The sequence below is a fragment of the Homo sapiens genome, chromosome 6 (assembly GCF_000001405.40).
Source record: "Homo sapiens chromosome 6, GRCh38.p14 Primary Assembly".
Taxonomy (NCBI): Eukaryota; Metazoa; Chordata; class Mammalia; order Primates; family Hominidae; genus Homo; species Homo sapiens.
The window spans coordinates 19,067,621-19,087,743 of NC_000006.12; the positions used below are offsets into that span (position 1 = coordinate 19,067,621).

The 20,123-nt window shown below is 35.2% G+C and overlaps 2 long non-coding RNA genes across 2 annotated transcripts in view; one reads left to right on the plus strand and one right to left on the minus strand.

Annotated features, from left to right (window-relative positions):
- The window catches only part of LOC105374958 (uncharacterized), a 119,161-nt gene that overhangs the window by 90,508 nt on the left and 8,530 nt on the right, over positions 1-20,123 (plus strand). Inside the window, exon 4 of the long non-coding RNA XR_001744010.1 lies at positions 19,228-19,292. This is a non-coding gene — a long non-coding RNA (uncharacterized LOC105374958). The remainder of the gene's footprint in view (positions 1-19,227; positions 19,293-20,123) is intronic.
- LOC101928519 (uncharacterized) overlaps positions 923-20,123 on the minus strand; it is a 111,938-nt gene continuing 92,737 nt past the window's right edge. The window contains exons 10-11 of the long non-coding RNA NR_110860.1: positions 18,541-18,751; positions 923-1,503 (exon numbers count right to left, since the gene is read on the minus strand). This is a non-coding gene — a long non-coding RNA (uncharacterized LOC101928519). The remainder of the gene's footprint in view (positions 1,504-18,540; positions 18,752-20,123) is intronic.

Below are 20,123 nucleotides of genomic sequence, written 5' to 3' on the forward strand. Positions count from 1 at the left end.
TTGGGATCAGCTGGTGAGCGTTCAAGCAGGGAGGTTGGAGAGTGGGAAGGGAGAGGCTGAGGCTTTTCCTCCTGTCTCTTCCTGTCTCCTTCTGTCTCCCTCTTCTCCTCCTGCATCAGCATCATGGCTCTTGCAGCAGCTGCATCCCTCTAGGATGAATGCTCTGTCAGGCCATTCTTTCTACATGGCTACACTCTTCACTGGCTCCCTGAACACTCTTTCCTAGGAGTGACTTCTCACTGTTGCCTGTCCCTAGGCCCCTCATGTCCCTTGTCCGTGTCCTTAACTTTGCCAGTCATCTCCATAAATAGTTATTTTGTTACAGTCTTTCCAGAGGTCCATAAGATTACACCTGAGGTTTCCTGCAAAGATAGTCACTACTCTGGGACCAGAGCTAATACCAATTATTCCATCTGGAGTTCCCCATACAGCATTCTCTCCATGTGAACATTCTATTTCTCTATAAGCTCTACACCAAATGCTACTTAGTACATAAAATGATATTCCTGTGTTTCTCCCAGTTGAAAATAATATCTCCCCTCTTAGAAATCCAAAGGCATTTATCTACAGATCTTTTAATGGGTATGAATAATTTACCCAAATAAAAAACAGTCTGTCTATGTCTTATCTCTGTCAGATTTGAAGGTGGGATTTAAGTTTGATTCCTAAGTACCAGTGCAGGGTCCTTCAATAGATACTCTGCACGTATCTGTTGCATGAATGAGCAAGTTATGAGTGTTGTCATCTTTCATTTCTCTACCATTTATATTTTGCCTAGCTCATCTTAACTACTAATAAGCGCTCCTTTAAGCATAGACTTTATGTTGCATTTTCTCTTTCTTACCTTTCTGTCTATCTCACAAGTTACATTTCTTTATTTTAATCTGCTCAGGCTGCTGTAACAAAATACTGTGGACTGGATGGCTTCAACAGCAGACATTTATTTCTCACAGTTCTGGAGGCTGGGAGTCTCGTGATCACGGTGCCCGCTGATTTGGTTCCTTGTGAAGGTTCTCTTCCTGGCTTGTAGACAACCATCTTCTTGTTGTGTCCTCACATGGTGGGGGTTGAGGAGAGAGAGAGAATACAAGAGCATATGCGAACAAGTGAGCACTCTGGCCTCTCCTTATAAGGGCACTAATCCCTTCATGAGGACCCCATCCTCATAACCTCATCTAAACCCAATTACCACCCCAAAGTTCCATCTCTGGAGATCATCATATTGAGGATTAGAGCTTTGACATATAAATTTTGGGGGGACACCATTCAGTCCCTAGTGCATTTCTATAGTTGAACGAACTCATTGATAAAGTTGAGTCCTAAGTTTCTTACATTTTTCTTTTGCAGTATCAGACTTGCGTCTCTCACTTCAACTTTGTATTTCTATATGTAGTCATCACTACTTTAATCTTCCACTATCCCATGTTGATAGAAAGATCCTGCTCTTCAAAAAAGCTCCTCAGCTTGATGTTCACACTTCTTCTGAAAGTCATCTGTATTCTCCTAATAAGCCCAAATCAGAAACTTGGAGTCATCTTTTCATACAATTTCTTTGACTTCTTGACTCTACCTTTGTAAATTCCCTTGCATATAAAATATTTTTTCTATAAACACTTCAATTGTAATTTATTTTTCCATGTATTTTTTGCCAAACTTATGCTATATACTAAAGAGTTTCCATATTTCCCATGTTTTCATCATTATAATATATAGACCTATGCTATTTAGAGCTAGAATAAATATTAGAAGCCAAGTTCACCATCTTTATTTTACAGAGAGCTCAGTGGGACCAAAAGGGGTCAAATGATTCACTTAATCTCACACATATGGGTAGTGTGGCAAAGCTGGACCAAGAGACTAAATCTCATGACACCCAGTGTAGCATTTTTTCCACTTTCCCAGGATTCAACCTCTGTCCTGCTGCCAGATTAATGTTTATCCTCACTAGTCTATTCATGTTGTACTCTTGCTTATTAACTACTTGTGGTTTTTATTCTCCGTTACCTTACAGAGTTAAGTCACTCCGACATTCAGTTAAGTACACTACATCTACATACTCCACTTTCAGCTTTTTTCACTGCTCCAATGTGTGTAAAATTATTTGCATATTATATAGCTTGTTCTTTGCTAGCTACACTCTATGCTCTTCTACCTTCATATCTAATGCTTATCCTTTTACTTTCTTTTCTTTAAATGTACTTGCCCCCATCCCTGACCATCTTTGGAATACATTATAAATGTCATGTTTTCCATTATGCATTTTGATATTCCCTTAACTGGATATACTGTCTCCCCCCTTTAACTCACCTTTACATTTTGTCTGTGATTTGTTATTGGAAGTAATTAATTCTTCCTTATAAAATTGTCTAAGCATATTTGCCTCTTTCCATTTTCCTGTCCCAACTTATGCAACTTTATGTCTCTCATAGCACCAGGCCTAGTATTTTGTACAAAATGGACACTAAATGTTGATAAGTGTTAATATTTGATAGTCCAAGCCATCGAAGTTAGGTGTTTCATGCACTTGCTTGCTTATTTTTATACATTAGTATCTTTGCTCTAATCTCTTAAGATGCATATCTCACAAATACATTTGAAAATAAATAGTTATTTATCTGTGGGATGGTGGTGCTGTCTGTAAAGTTATGGTACAGAATCTTCCTCCTCCAATAAACAAAAGCAAAACAAAAACAACCCTGCCAATTTTCCCATCAGCAGGAAGAAATGGGGAAGGATTATAACCTCAAAAATGATGACCAGTGAAGTAACAGAAAATTCTGGTGTCATGGCCAGGTCAACAGAATTCCCAACTCTTATTCCACCTCCAGAAGTGGCACTGAGGATAACTGAGGATATAAGAAGTGACACAAATCCTGAATCTGAATGCTCTGTAACTTGAAAGGAGTGGTTTGAAGGGATGAATTGATGGGTCTGGGAAAATCAAGATAAAACACTTAGTGGATGCTCTACAAATCACATCTGGACCTTGGCAGAAGCAGGAAGGGCCATAGATTCTCTTGCTCCAGCACACAGTGCTAAATTAGGGGAGTAAGCCAAAGCCCAAAAGACTTGAATTCATGCCAAGCTTGGTGTAATGGAGTCCAATGAAGAACATCTGGTGGGATCTCAGCAAGAAGAGTAAACCCAGGACCTCCTCAAAGACTGCAATCAGTCCCAGCTGTGCTTCCCACTCTCTTCTGTCTGTTCTCTGTACCTTCTAGTACACAGGGGGAAGATAAATAATCCCAGATAAGGTAAGAGTGATGTCAAGGAGAAACCACATACACCATTTCCTAGTAAATATAAGATATTAACAAAGGTACAAGAGGAAAAAAATGGTTTGAGAGTGATGAAAATATATTACAGCCCCCAAATAAAAATATATTAATATATAAATGGAGAAAGGCATTGATTTTAAAACATAACACAGATAATCCAATTTGAAAGAATATACAATCCGAGGAACTAAAATTCCTTTGCTGGTGTTTTGCATTTATTGAATAATCCAATAAGGACATAGATTTAGTAAAACAAGGAAAACAATAATGTAATAAAAGATCAGAATTATGAGAAAAGGAATATTATAAGGAAAAGAAAAAACTGATACAAAACAAACAGTATAAATTAGAAGCAGCAGGAAACAGAAGTCATCATGGAGATAATGATTTATTTAGTTATAGACAATAGGTTTAAATAATTAGACAATAGGTATATAAACTATAGTGCATCCACCATAGGGCTATTGATACTGCTGAAGTAAAGACACCAACAAATAGAACAGAAAATAATGAGGGATATAAAAGAGGGAAACTTACCTAAAGTAAAGTGAATGACTAAATATTTCAGTTAATAGGGCAAATGCCAAGAAAAGTTAATAAAAAGCTAATACTATAAGACATATTTAGTTATTAAATTTCAAAAATAAAAGCATTCAGAAATTGATGAGTCTGGGAAAATCAAGATAAAACACTTAGTTTCAGAAAAAAAAATAGCAAGTTACATAACAAGTGGGAAATCTGATTGGCCTCAGAATAAATATTGAGTTTCAGAAACAATGTAACAAAGTTTCCATTATATATAGCAAATTGCTCTTCAGTTATAAATACAACAGAAAGGCATTTCTATACATTAAATAACAGGTTTAATGAAATTTTACAACAATGAAACTTAAAAATCCCTACTTGGAGATTAAATGCAACCAATGAAGAGATAAATCATAATAAAGAATAGAGAAATTAGGAAACCATGGTTATATAACAGGTGGCTGAACACTTACTTCATTTAAGTATGACCTAAGATAAAACAACTGAGGTAATTATTATTGCAGAGTAGAACAGATATATAATAAAACCATCATAAATTAAATATTATAAAAGCAACAAACTCAGAAGAAAAGAGAAATAGAGGTTCTTAATTATATCATCTTTCAGAGGAGTTAATGATGATTACTGAAATTAATATATGTAATTTAAATAAATCTATGCTGAATACAAGTTATTGATTAATTTTTTTTTAATTTAGAGGGACATTTTGGTACCTATTACCTGATATGATGAAGACAATATGAAGTCCTACAATTTTTTCATTCACCTTAGTTGCATTTTTCATTATATTCATGTCAAATTAAAATTACTAGCTTCTATTTTAAAACAGCATTTATCCAAGCATATTACTTAGAAATTATGTTGTCGTTTTCTTTCTCATCTACAAAATTTTGTCTAAATTTTTATTTCCCTCTCCACATATGTAGAAAAGTTGTTTAAATAATCTATATGGAATATTAATGGTAATGATTTCTATTTCAAGTAATTTATTGCTTTCATTAAAATCATGTCAAATTAAAATTGCTAGATGCAATTTTTTAATAACTTTTTCCCAGTTTTTAGTTTGGCTTAATTTAGTTTAGGTTGAATATGCATTATCACTTAAAATTGTCATATTATTGCTTCAAAATTATTTTGGTAAATTAATTTTTGACAAAATTATTAAAAGTCCATAGAAAATTATTGGGAAGACCAAGCTACAAAGATAAGACTCCTATTGAAGGAGGTGGAGCAAGATGGCCGACTAGAACCCTTCAGAAATTCCCTCCCTCATCCTCTGCAGGAACATAAAATCAAACAATTATCCATGCAAAAAGCACCTTCATAAGAACCAAAAATATCAGGTGAGTGATCAGAGTACCTGGGTTTAGCATAATAACAAGGACACATTGAAGAGGGTAGGAAGGACAGTCTCTGATGTTCCCTACACTACCCCTACCTCCACTCCCAGCAGTACAGCCAAGAGAGAAACTCTGTGCTTGGAGGAGGCAGAGCAAAGTGAGTTTGGAACTTGGCATTGGAACTCAGTCCCACCCTGTCACAGTTAGAACATAGCACAGGGCAGAATTCTGTTGATGCCATTAAGACAAGCCCTGGGCCCGAGGAGACTTCATCACCCAAGGAGGAGGAAACTGAGTCCCAAACAAACAAGGCCAGACTGTGAAGACTAGAACAAATACCTAACTCTTCAATGCCCAAATAAGGACAAATGTTCATAAGCATGAAGGACATCCAGGAAAATATTGCCTCACCAAACAGACTAAATAAGGCACCAGTGAACAACCCTCGAGTGACAGAGATATATAACCTCTCAGATAGGGAATTCAAAATAAATATTTTGAGGCAGCTTGGCAAACTTCAAGATAACACAGAGAAGGAATTCATAAATCTATCTAAGAAATTTAAATACTGGAGCAGAAAAATTCAATAGATAAACTAAAAAATGTAACACAGTCTTAACAGAATTAAGCAGAATAAGGAACTAGTGAACTCAAAGATGAGCTATTTAAAAAATAGGAAGATAATAAAAAATAATTAAAAAGAATAAAGTATGCTTACAAGATCTAAAAAATAGTCTCAAAAAGGCAAATTTAAGAGTTATTGTCCAAAAAGAGGATGTAGATAATGAGATCAGGGTAGAAAACTTATTCAAATAAATAATAACAAAGTACTTTCCAAACCTATAGAAAATTATTAATATCCAGGTACCAGAAGTTCACAGAACATCAAAGAAGACACAATCCATATAAGACTATCCCAAGGCATATAATCAACTCCCAAAAGTCAAAAACAAAGGATCCTAAAAGCAGCAAGATAAAAGCAAATAACATCTAAGGTCTGATACATCTAGCAATAGACTTCTCAGAGGAAACCTTACAGGCCTGGAGGGAATGGGAATGACATATCCAAAGTGCTAAAGGAAATAAAAGCTCCAACTAAGGAAACTGTACCCAGCATAGCTATTTTTCAGACACAAAGGAGAAATAAAAACTTTCCCAGACGAACAAAACCTGAGGGAATTAATCATCACCATACCTGTCTTATAAGAAATGTTAAAGGGAGTTTTCCAACTGAAAAAAAGGATGCTATCATGCAGCAAGAAATCACCTAAAGGTAGAAAAGTCACTGGTAAAAGTTAAGTACACAGAATTATCTAATACTGCCAATGCAGTGTGTAAGCCATGCATATATTTAGTATAAAGACCAAGAGGCAAATCTATAAGAAATAATAACTACACAGGTTTGTTAAGAGATAGGAATTATAAGAAGATATATAGACACAACAAAAAGTCAAAAACTAGGGGGATGGAGTTAAACTGTGGAGTATTTTAATTTTTCTTTGCTTCTGTCTTTTCTTCTTTGGGATCAAAGTTAAGTTGTCATCAGTTTAAAATAACTTGTTACAATTCTGATATGTTTGTTTCAACCATTATTATAACCACAAAGCAAAAGTCTAACAGACACACTAAAAAGTAAAAATGAATTAAAACATACTGCCAGAGAAAATCATTTATCCACAAAGCCAGTAAGAAAGAAAGAGAAGGTTTACAAAACTGGAAAACAACTAGCAAAATGGCATTAGTAAGTCCTTACCTGTCAATAATGACACTGAATATAAATTGACTACATTCTCCAGTTAAAAGACATGAAGTAGCTGAATAAAGAAATAAGACACAACTATGTGCTCTCTACAAGAAACTCACTTTTTACCTATAAAGACATGTGGACTGAAAGTAAAAATGGATGAAAAATAAATAAGTAAAGATGGAAAAAGATATTTTGTGCAAATTGAAACCAAAAAAGAACAAAAGTAGCTATATTTAAAGTACATTTCAAGTCAAAAACTGTAAGAAGAGACAAAGGTCATTATATAATGATTAAAAAGTCACTTCAGCAAGAGAATATAACAACTGTATTTAATTGTATTAAATATATATGCAACCAATTGTATTATATATGCAACCAAAATTAAAGCACTTGTTATGGTTTAAACTTGTGTCCTCACACAAATCTCATGTGCAATTGTAATCCCAGTGTTGGAGGTGGAACCTGGTGGGAGGTGATTAGATCACGGGGTTGGAGTTCTTATGAATGGTTTAGTGACATCACCTTTGGTACTGTATAGCCAGTGAGTTCTCATGAGATCTGAATGTTTAAAAGTGTGTGTTACCTCCTTCATTTTTTTCTCTCTTCCTTCTGTTCTGGCCACATAAGATGTGCTCGTTTCCCTTTGCCTTCTGCCACGATTGTAAGTTTCCTGAGGCCTCCCCAGCCATGCTTCCTGCAGAGGCTGCAGAACCATTAGCCAATTAAGCCTCTTTTCTTTATAACCCACTCAGTCTCAGGTATTTCTTTATAGCAATGCAAGAACAGACTAATACATCACCCAGACATTTAAAGCGAGTATTAAAGACAGACTACAATACAATGATAGCAGAGGACTTCAACAACCCAGTTTCAGCAATGGACAGATCATCCAGTCAGAAAATCAGCAAAGAAATATTGGAATTAAGCTACATGCTAGGCTAAATCAACTTAACTGATATTTATAGAACATTTCACCAAATAGATGCAGAAAACATATTCTTCTCATCAGCACATGGAACATTCTCCAGGATCGACTATAAGTTAGGCCGCAAAACAAGTCTTAACAAATTCAGAAATATCAAAATCATATCAAGTTTTTTTTTTGACTAAAGTAGAATAATACTCTAAATCAATAACAAGAAGAACTTTGGAAACTATAAAAATACATGAAAATTAAACAACTTGTTCTTGAACCATTAATGGGTCAACAAAGAAATTAAGAAGAAAATTTAAAATTTTATTGAAACAAATAAAAATGGAAAGAAAACAAACCAAAACCTGTGGAATACAGCAAAAGCAGTACTAAGTGGGAAGTTTTTCATTATAAATGACTACATCATAAAGTAGGAAGACTTCAAATAAACAATTAATGGCACACCTTAAAGAGCTAAACCTAAACCAACCTAAAATTAGTAGAAGACAAGAAATAATGTCAAAACAGAAATAAATAAAATTGAGACTAAAAAATAGATCAACAAAATAAGTTGGGTTTTTGAAAAGAAAGAAAATTTGGAAAGTTTTAGCCAGACTAAGAAGAAAAAGAGAAGAACTAATAAAATTGGAGACAAAAAGAAGACAACTGATAGCACAGAAATGCAAAGAACCGTTATAGACTGTGACGAGCATCTATATGCCAATAAGTTAGAAAACATAATAGAAATGGATAAATTTAGTCTAGACACATACAACCTATGAAGGTTGTTCCATAAACAAATAGAAAACCTGCACAGACCAATAATGAGTAATGAAATAGAAGTAGTAATAAAAAGTCTCCCATCAAAGAAAAGGTGAGGAACTGATGGCTTCCCTGTTGAATTCTATGAAACATTTAAAGAAAAAACAATACCGATCCTACTCAACCTCTTCAAAACACTGAAGAGGAAGGAATACTTCCAAACTCGTTCTAGATGGCTATTATTACCCTGATACCAAAAACCAGACAGAGACTCGACAACAACAAAAACTACAGGCCAATATCCCTGATCAACATAGATGCAAAACTCCTCAAAAAACTAACAAACCAACTTTACCAACACATTAAAAAGATCATTAAGGCCAGGCTCAGTGGCTCACACCTGTAATCCTAGCACTTTGGGAGGCCAAGGCAGGTGGATCACGAGGTCAGGAGATCGAGACCATCCTGGCTAACACAGTGAAACTCTGTCTCTACTAGAAAAACAAAAACTTAGCCGGGCGTGGTGGCGGATGCCTACAGTCCCAGCTACTCAGGAAGCTGAGACAGGAGAATGGCGTGAACCTGGGAGGCGGAGTTTACACTGAGCCGAGATCGCGCCACTGCACTCCAGCCTGGGCGATAGAGCGAGACTCCGTCTCACAAAAAAAAAAAAAAAAAAAAAAAAAAAAAAAAAAAAAGATCATTAACACAACTAAATGAGATTCATCTCAGGGACAGAATGACGTTTCAACATACACAATTCAATCAACATAATACATCACATAATAGAATGAAGGATACATCACATAACAGAATGAAGGACAAAAATCATTTCAATCAATGTTGGAAAAACATAAAATTTAACATCCTTTCATAAAATTACTTGCAGCAAACTGGGTATAAAGGAAACATACCTCAACTTGACAAAAGTCATATAAAACAAACCCACGGTTCATGTCATACTGAATGGGGAAAGGCTGAAGGCATTTCCTCTAAGATCTGGAACAAGACAAGGATGCCCACTTTTACCACTTTTATTCAACATGGTACCAGAAGTCCTAGCCAGGGCAATTAGACAGGAAAAAGAAATAAAGGGCATTTAAACTGGAAAGGAAGAATTTAAGTTGTCCTTGTTTGTGTCTTTATATTTAGAGAAACTTAAAGACTTTACCAAAAAAACTGGTAGAACTGATAAATTAATTCAGTAAATTTGCAGGATACAAGAATCATTAGCATTTCTATACGCCAACAGTGAAGGATGTGGAAAAGAAATCAAGAAAGCAATCCTTTTTACGATAGCCACAAAAAATACCTAGAAATAAACTTGACTAAAGTTTTTATCTCTACAATAAAAACTACTAAACACTGATGAAAGAAATTGAAGAAAATGCACAAAAAAGAAAGATATCTCATGTTATGGATTAGAAGAATTAATACTATTTAAATGTTCATACTACTCAAAGCAACCTACAGATTCAATGCAATCCCTGTCACATACCAATGACATTCTTCACGGAAATAGAAAAAACAATCCTAAAATTCACGTGGAACCAGAAAAGACCCCAAATAGCCAAAGCAATCCTGAGCAAAAAGAACAAAGCAGGAAACATCACAATACTATACTTTGAAATATACTACAAATCTATGGTAACCAAAACATAGCACTGGCATAAAAACAGACATATAGACCAATAAAACAGAATAGAGAACCCATAAATAATTCCTTGCATTTACAGCCAAGTCATTTTTGACAAAGTTGTTAAAAATATACATTAAGGAAAGGACAGTATTTTCTATAAACGGTGCTGAGAAAACTGGATATCCATATGCAGAACAATAAGATTAGATTCCTATCTCACCAATTACAAAATTGACAAATGGGATCATATCAAGCTAAAAAGCTTCTGTACAGCAAAGGAAGCAACCAACAGAGTGAAGAAACCACCTACAGAATTAGGTTGAATTAGAAGAATTAGGCCCCATCTCCCACCATATACAAAATTAGTAAAGAATATTTGCAAACTATCCAAAAATGGACTACTAATCAGAATATATAAGTAACTCAAAACTCAATAGCAAAAACAAAAAAACAAAAAAAAAACAACAACAAAAAAAACCTTCCAAATAATCTGATTAAAAATGGGCAAAAGACCTTAACAGGCATTTCTCAAAAGAAGACAAATGGCCAACAGGTATATGAAAAAATGCTCAACATCATCAAGGAAATCAAAATCAAAATCAGATACCATCTCACCCCAGTTAAAATGTGTTATCAAAATAGATAAAATAAATGCTACCAAAGATGTAGAGAAAGGGGAACATTTGCACACTGTTAGTGGGAATGTAAATTAGCACAGCCACTATGAAAAATAATATAGAGGCTCCTCCAAAACTAAAAATATAACTACCATATGATCTAGCAATCCTATTGCTGGGTATATATCCAAAAGAATGGAAATCAGTATATTGAAGAGATATCTAAACAACCCCCTCTTTATTTTTGCAGCGCTATTCACAATAGTCAAGATATGGAATCAACCTAAGGGTCCATCGATGGATTAATGGATAAAAAGAAAATGTGGTGTATATACATAGGCAATGGAATATTATTCATCCATAAAGAAAAGAATGAAATCCTATCATTTACAGTGACATGGACTGAACTGGAGGACATTATGTTAAGTGAAATAAGCCAGGCACAGAGAGACAAATATCACATGTTCTTACTCATAACTGGGAGCTAAAAACATAGATCTCATAAAAGTAGTGGATAGACTGGTGGCTACCTCTGGTAGCTAAAAGGTTTGTGAGGGCAGGGGATAGAAGGAATACTACCTAGTGTTTGATAGCACAGTAGGGTGACTATAGTCAATAATAACAACTTATTGACTATTTAAAAATAGCAAAGAAAATTTGGAATGTTTCCAACACACAGAAATGATAAATGTTTAAGATAATGGATACTTCAGTTTCCTGGATTTAATCATTACACATTGTATGCTTGTATCAAAATACCACATGTACCCCATAAATGTGTGTAACTCTTATGTATCCAAAAAAAGCAAATATTTTAAAAAACACAAGTCTCCTACTACATAGTGAAGGGCAAAGAAAATCAGCTTTAGTCAGACTTCTGAGACAATCCTAAGTAGCTGAGATTTGAGCTTCTTTGTTACTTCCAAGAAAAATGTTAAGTTTCCTTTTCCCACCATAATTTTTAAGCCCCACCTATTCTATCTTCTAGCCATCACTTCTTTTGTTTAACAAATAGAACAAATAGTTCACCACATAGTTGCTGTACACAGCGGGAGGAGATTGTCTAGGGAAAGACGGAAGAAGAAAGCAAAATGAATGAAGGCTGGTAAGGATTACAGGAGTAAATGGATACTTATCTCTATCAGTCAGGATTAGCGAGGTCCTGTGATGGTAGCAAATTATCCCAGAGTCTCAATATCAGTACAACAAAGCCTGATAAGTCAGGAAGCTCCTCCTGGTATAAGAAGCTCTTCCGGCCGGGTGCGGTGGCTCAAGCCTGTAATCCCAGCACTTTGGGAGGCCGAGGCGGGCAGATCACAAGGTCAGGAGATCGAGACCATCCTGGCTAACACGGTGAAACCCCTTCTCTACTAAAAACACACACACACAAAATAAGCTGGGCGTGGTGGCGGGCACCTGTAGTCCCAGCTACTCGGGAGGCTGAGGCAGGAGAATGGCGTGAACCCGGAAGGTGGAGCTTGCAGTGAGCCGAGATGGTGCCACTGCACTCCAGCCTGGGCGACAGAGCGAGACTCCGTCTCAGAAAAAAAAAAAAAAAAAGCTCTTCCAAAGCCGTTGCTCAAAGAGCCAGACAGCCACCATCTTGTAACTCTGCCATCTTATTAGGCGATCCCAACAATCATCCAAACAAAGGAAGAAAGAATGGAGAGCAGGGATCCCCAACCCCTGAGCTGCAGGCCAGTACCGGTCTGTGGCCTGTTAGGAACTGGGCTGCACAGCAGGAGGTGAGCAAGCGAGCCATCAAGCATTACCACCTGAACTCCACCTCCTGTCAGATCAGCAGGAACATTGGATTCTCCTGGAGCGTGAACCCTATTGTGAACTGCACACATGCGCCGAATCTAGGTTGCATGCTCCTTATGAGCATCTAATGCTTGATGATCTGAAGTGGAACATCAAGTTTCATCGTGAAACCATTACTGTGGAAAACTTGCCTTCCTTGAAACCAGTCCCTGGTATCAAAAAGTTTGGGGATTGCTGATATAGAGGACTCGTTCTTGCTTATTTTTTCCACTGGACTAAAAGTGAAAAACCCCAGTGTGGGTAGCCTGTTCACCAGAAATAGTCACGTCGCCCTGGTCTAACTGCAAGAGAATGGAGGGAGTACAGTATTCCTGTGTGTTTAAGAAGTGGAAAATAAAACAGAATTTGGAGAACACTTAATATTGCCTCTTCTATGTGACATGAAAGTGAGAAAATTATGTGATTAAACATAATAGCCTGAAAAGCTAAAGAAACAGAATGCCTAAAACATCAATATTGCATATATATTATAAGAGAAAGATAAAAGTCTGAGAATAAATCACTAGCCAAAAAAATGCTCAAATATATGAGACCAATTTGTTTTTTGTTACTTGTAACACTGCCCATAATAGGGAAAATCAGGAGAAAAACTGTTTACAGCTAAACAAATTAAGGCATATCCATGCCACAGAATATCACCAAGAAATTTAGAAGAATGAGTTACATCTATATACAAAATTTACTGTATGCCAACAAATTCAATATTCTAGATGAAATGGACAAATTCTGAGAATGACACAAACTACCAAAACTGACCTAATTTTTTTTTCCAATGAGGAGGCCTAGAACAAGTAAGGTGATTGAATTCGTAATCAAAAAACTTCTCACAAATAAAATTTCAGGACCAGTTGTCATCAGTGAATTCTACCAAAGGCTTAAAGAAGAATTTATACCAATCTTTCACAAACTCTTCTGAAAAAATAAAGAGCCCATAAGCAAATCTGAAGGGGAGGAAACACTTCCCAACTCATTCCATGATGTCAGTATTACCCTGCTATCAAAATCAGATGCAGACATCACAAGGGAAAAAAAAAACACTACAGGCCAATATATTTTATGACTGTAGATCTTCAACAAAATGCTAGCAAACCAAATACAGCAGCATTTACAATGAATTGTACGCAATGACCATGTTCGTTTTATCCCAAGAACTCGTAATTGTTTCAACATACGAAAACCCATCAAGGTAATATCTTATATGAATACAATAAATAACAAAAAATACATTTTTATCTCAATGAATGCAAGAAAATCATGTGACAAAATGTAACACATTTCTGTGATAAAAACCCTTAACAAACTAGGAATATAAAATAACTTCCTCAATCAGATAAAGCATATTTATGATAAACCTACCTACATGCTCCCTATGGTCAGGAGCAAAACGAGGATGTCTGTTCTTGCTACTTTTATCTAATATTGTAAGTGAGGTCCTAGTCAGGGCATTTAAGCAAGACTATAAAACACAGATATATAGATTAGGAAGAAAAGAGTAAAACAATCTCTATGACTTTTTTTTTCTATTTAAAAATCTCAAGGATTTCACAAAAACAGAACAAAAGAAAACAAAAACAGCTAAAAACAAGTTGTACAAGGGTGCAATATACAAAATTAACACACCAAAGCCAATTGTATTTCTATACACTGGTAATGAACAATCTGAAAATAAAATTAAGAAAACAATTTCATTTACAATAGTGTCAAAGAGAATATATTAATAATATAATTTTAAAAGTGTAAGAAGTGTAAGACTTACGCACCAAATACTGTAAAACATCATTGAAAGTAGCAAACTAACAAAGACTAAATAAATTTTAAAAACCTTATGTTCATAGAATGAAAGAATATTGTTAAGATGGCAATACTCAAATTGATCTACACATTCAACACAATTCCTATCAAAATCCCAGCTGATTTATTTCCAGAAAGTTGCAAGCCGATTCTAAAATTATCTCACGCCTTCTGCCAAAGTTAAATCAGAATGGATGAAAAATCTAAAAGCAATAGCTTAGACTCTAAACTCTTATGAGAAAAGATATGCACAAATCTTCATGACCTTGAGTTAGGCAATGGTTTCTTACATATAATATCAAAAGTACAAGTAAAAACAAAAAATGTTAGACTTCACTAAACAATGTAAAAATGTACATCAAAGGACATTATCAAGAAAGTGAAAAGACAACCTCTTTGCAAGTTGTATACCAGATAAGGATCTAGTATCCAGAATAAAGAACTCTTATAACTCAACAACAAAACGGACAAAGGGTGTGAAGAGACATTTCTCCGATGATGATACACACATTCCCATAAGCACATGAACAGATGCTCAACATCATTATTCCAAATGTAAACCAAAACCACAATGAGGTGCTGCTTCACCCCCACTAGAGGCTATTATCAGAAAAACAGACAATAACAAGGATGTGTGGTTATCTTCCAGTATATCTGATGGGACTGTAAAATGGTGTAGCCACATTGAGAAACAGTATGGCAGTTTCTTAAAGCTAGTGTTACCATGCCTGAAACCGGGTTCTACAATGTGACCCAACAATTCCAATCCTAGGCACATATGCAAGAGAGATGAAAACAAATGTACATAAAATGTATCCATATCAACACTTGTACATGAATAGTCATAGCAGCATTATTCATAATACCTAAAAAGTAGAAACAACACAAATGTCCATTAATTGTAAATGGATAAACAAAATTTGGTATATATACACAATGGTGTATTATTCAGCCATAAAAATGAATGAATTACTGATATATGCTACAACGTGGATAGGCCTTGAACACATGCTATGTGAGAAAAGGCAGATGCCAAAGGCCACAGATTCTACTCATGTAAAATGCCAATAGCAAGCGAATTCTTACACGCAGAATTAGATTAGTGTTTACCTGAGGTTTGGGGAAGGGAAGAATAATAAAGAAGTTTCCTTGTTTGTTTTTGGTTGATGACAATGTTCTGTAATTAGTATTATTGATGGCTGCACAACTTTGTGAAAGTGCTGAAACCCACTGAGTGTTTAACTTAAGAGTAAATTTTATGGTACCTGAAAAATAATTATGGCATACAAAAATGCATAAGAAAAAAATTATCAAGTGATACTGTCAATGGAGAAAATAAGGTTGTAGGATAAAATAGAATATAGGCCCATCTATTTAAAATGTTTGCTTATCCATGTACACATTTATGTGTGAAAATGCTTAAGAACTAAAGTGATGTATGTTGAACTCTTAACAGTAGCTACTTCTGAAGAAGGGTACAGTATTGGGAAGATTTTTAAGGGAAGACTGTATATATTTTGTTTTCTTTGAATGTTATATAAGGAACATATGTTCATATGTTATATAAAAACTAAATTAAAAGAAAATTAATAAAGTTAGATGTTATGAAATATAAACACTATCTCACCCCACTTTCAATGCCCAGTTCCATTCTCCCCATTTTATAAAATCTTCCCTACTCCATCATATACTGATTTGTTTTATCTGTACTCTTAAAACTCCTGCCCTTTATACACTACATAATTCAGTGCCTTATCATACATTTGACTAAACCGATTACATGAGAGAACCCTTGATAAACTGTAAAACATAATATAAATGCCATGCCAATACCAATATGTTGGGCAATGTCTTTTGGAATTGTCAGTGTGAAATTAAGAACAGCAAAGCTAAAAATGGAGGCCAAGGTCAAAAGTTAGAAAAATTATGGGCAAGCTGCCAAACCTAAGTCCTTAAAATAATAGTGATGTCACAGGTCAAATGGAAGTTTTATATTCTGGGTTGACATAAAGACAGACTTCAAATATAATAATTTCTGGGCAAATCTAAGCAAACAGTGTTTGATAAGAAAGTAAGCAATTACAACAGGTCCAGAATTCTCATAGAAAAACAGTAACAAAAAAACAAGACATAGTTGGAAAGGTACATCCCAAAATAGTCTTAAAGGCAAAGTTCTTGTACATGGCATAGTTTTTATTTTTGCACTATTATTTCATATGTTACCCTCAATTTCCCAATTACATTGCAAGACTGCAATTTACCAAGATTTGTTGGATTTAGGAAAAATGCTTGTATTTATCATGCAGCCTCTATATCATTAGATTACATACCTGATTAATTTTATTGATTTAACTGAAAGGTACTGACCAGTTACAGTGGGGTTGAAAAATAAAAATTAATTTTCCAAAAATATTAAGTCTGTTCCAACTAAACCCAAAGTAAATACTGAATGGTCATGATCACCTAATAAAACATGTGGTGCCTATTTCACAGGGATCATGATAAATCTGACATGGAAAATAAAGTAGAAGAGGGAGTTTGTCGATGCTTGATTTTATCTGACTGTCCCAAACAGCCCAAGTGTCTGACTGAATTTTTAAAATTAATCCTTCTTTCTAACTTTCACTAATGGTATTATGATTATTATTAATGTTCTACTAATAGCAGATAATGTGTATTGAGGGTGTACCTTGTACTGGGCCCTGAGCTGAACATTTTTATATAGAGTATCTCATTTAATACACCACTGCTATAAAGTAGTAACTATAATCACATATATTGGACAGATGAGAAAGCTGAGGTTGACTGAGTATAAACAACTTGACCATGACCACACAGCTAGTAAGTGATAACGATGTGACTCCATTTTGAGCCTAACTCTCAAATTTATGTTCTTTACTCAAATACTACTCTAGCTATACAATACTTAATATCCGAACATCACTCAGGATCCTGGGTTCCCATCCTATCCTGCCATGGTCATCTTCTCCTTCAGGACCTCAAAGGAAGTAATTGTCTAGAGCACAAGGGCAATTAGGGCTTCAGCCTTCAACCCCAATAAAATAACTAGTGAATTAGTCTAGATTCTGCCAGTGACTCTCTTTGAGGAGGCAAATGCTGGGCAAAGTGGCCTCCTTTTGCCTTTTGTCCTGGGCCCACCATCCACTTACTCTGCCAGTGCTGAAGGAGTGTGAGTCTAGAAGAAATGGCCAATCCAAGAGCAAGACGGAGTTTGTGCTTAACACAGAAAGTATCCATTTTTTTAATTTGGCAAAATAACCCGGCACAAAAAATGCCAACATCAACCTATCAAGGGAAATTCTGCAAATAATCTACTTCTATGATGACAGTGGATTTGATTAGATGATAAGAGGAAACTTCCAGCGCTAAGGAGAATGAAAGCAATTTTATCCAAAATATGAGGGTTCTAGAAAGTTATTTCCAGTGCCTCCATTATCCTGACAGGCAGAAATACACACTTTTAATTTGCCTGGAACTGATGACAACAGGAATGAATTAAATATGTAATCAATCATACTGTTAAATGGAAAAACAATAGGTTTCTGCTTACACATAGCTTGAGAGAGAGATCCAGAAGGTATAACATTCATCTGAGTGCAAAACCCACATTAGAGAGAAACTCTACTTTACCTTTATGATTAATAAGGAAAAGATTTTCAAGACACCAATTTTTTGTTTTTGTAAAGTGACATAATATGGAAATAAAAAAGAAAAAGATAGAAATTAGGTTACTCCTGAGAAATCAGTGTTTATAGGGCTAAAAATCAGAAACAATGCCAAACAAAGAAAAAAAAGAATTCACATAAATCAGAAAGGAAATATGACTGTTAATGAAAATGAACACACAAACAAACCTCCAATGCACAAAGCAATGAATCCCTCACTATCCCATATTTCAAATGAACCACTAGAGAGGGAAAAAATTGATAGCAACACTTGCAGCTGAAATAACTCTTGCAGTGATAAATTCTCCTCTTTCTTCATGTTGCATTTTTCCCATGATGTTCCTCTTGGTATTCGGCAACTCTTTTAAAAGAAGATACTTGCAAGCACTGACCTCACCTTTGACTATTTGTCTGTCTCCACAGTTCTTCGCAGATATTACTGAGCATCACCATAGATGTCCTTCTTCACCTCTTTATCCACAACTGAAGTATAGCCACCTCAAAGCCTCCAGAGGTGCACACCTTAGATCCATCAGCACAAATCTGCAAAAGCCATTTCTCACTGAGTGGATGATGATGCGATGTATTTGTCTTCTATCACCATCTCTCTGATTATTTTCAAAGATATAGCTACATATTATTAGTAATCTAGTTAGCACTAGTAGAAGCAGCAGCAGTAGCAAACATCCTATATACCCTCCTAACCCCACCTCATTCTTGTGAGATGTTGCTACTATTTGAATCATTATCCCATTTGTAACTTAACCTCAAATAGGAGATTATGGGTTTCTTTTTCTTTCTTTTTTTCTTTTTCCCAATGGGGCTAAAGCCAGCAGGGAATCTTCATTAAAATTCACCGTAAGGCCTATTTGTTTGCCATTTCCCTTCCCCCAAGTCACATATTCCTCCCACCCTGCTGTGAACTGCGCAGAGCAGAGGAATGACCCGTGGAATCTCATGGTCCTGTGGAGGTGCCAAATTAAGCTGCTCATGTTTGCTAAGTAAAGATGACATATATTTACTGTCTCTGGACACCCCTCCAAATAGTGGTATATTCACAACTTTATTTTATTCTGTATTTTAGGAAAGAACATCGCTTTCCTCATGAACAGGTGCAAATACTGCTGACATTTAGAACACTCCTCAAAGGTAGGGACTAAGGATCTAGGCTTGCATGGTGTGAGTTCTTACTGGAGACCAATATCAGGGCATTCTTGGGTGGTTATTATTATCGTTTGGTTATTGCATTCTTCCTCTCTGTCCTGATTAGACATAACTATGCCAGAGTCATACTTCATATTCATCTATAGGAACATCTGGCTCATGTCTAACATTTAATTTCCACACCATTAGAGTCAAACAATACATGTACATCAATAGATAATGTAATGCATTATCATGCAAGGCAGAGAGTAGCAATTTATTAGCCTAATTTAAAATAGCCTTCAGCAAAAAATAGTGCATCTTAATTCAGAGTTTTGAATGGAATGACATGTTTTCAAGTAAAATTCAAAGGTATATACTCAGACATGATTTGGAAGAAGTTTCCTACATATATTATCTTCTGCATTATTCAAGGAGGGAAGATCAATTCTGTTTTTTTATGTTCCAAACAAATCTAATCCATAATAATACAAAAAACAAAGATAGCCCTGGGAGAAAATAAGAAAAGGAATTCCTTGGAACATAACTTAGAAATCACAACTTCAATGTACAGGCTGCTAAGAATCTCTTTGCACATGCTTAAAATCACAGAAAATGTTTTGCTTTGAATGTAGCATGAATTTTGTCTCTATTTCCTAAGACATTTCATTACTATTTTAGGTTTATAGACAATGAATATGTAGAGTGTTAGTTTGTCTTTGTAGGAGAATATTATAACTTCTATAAGAATTTAAGCGATGTAATCTTAGAAATTAGCTTAAGCTATGCAGCTTGCACAAATCATTATAATTATTAAAAACAAATATTCAAATATCT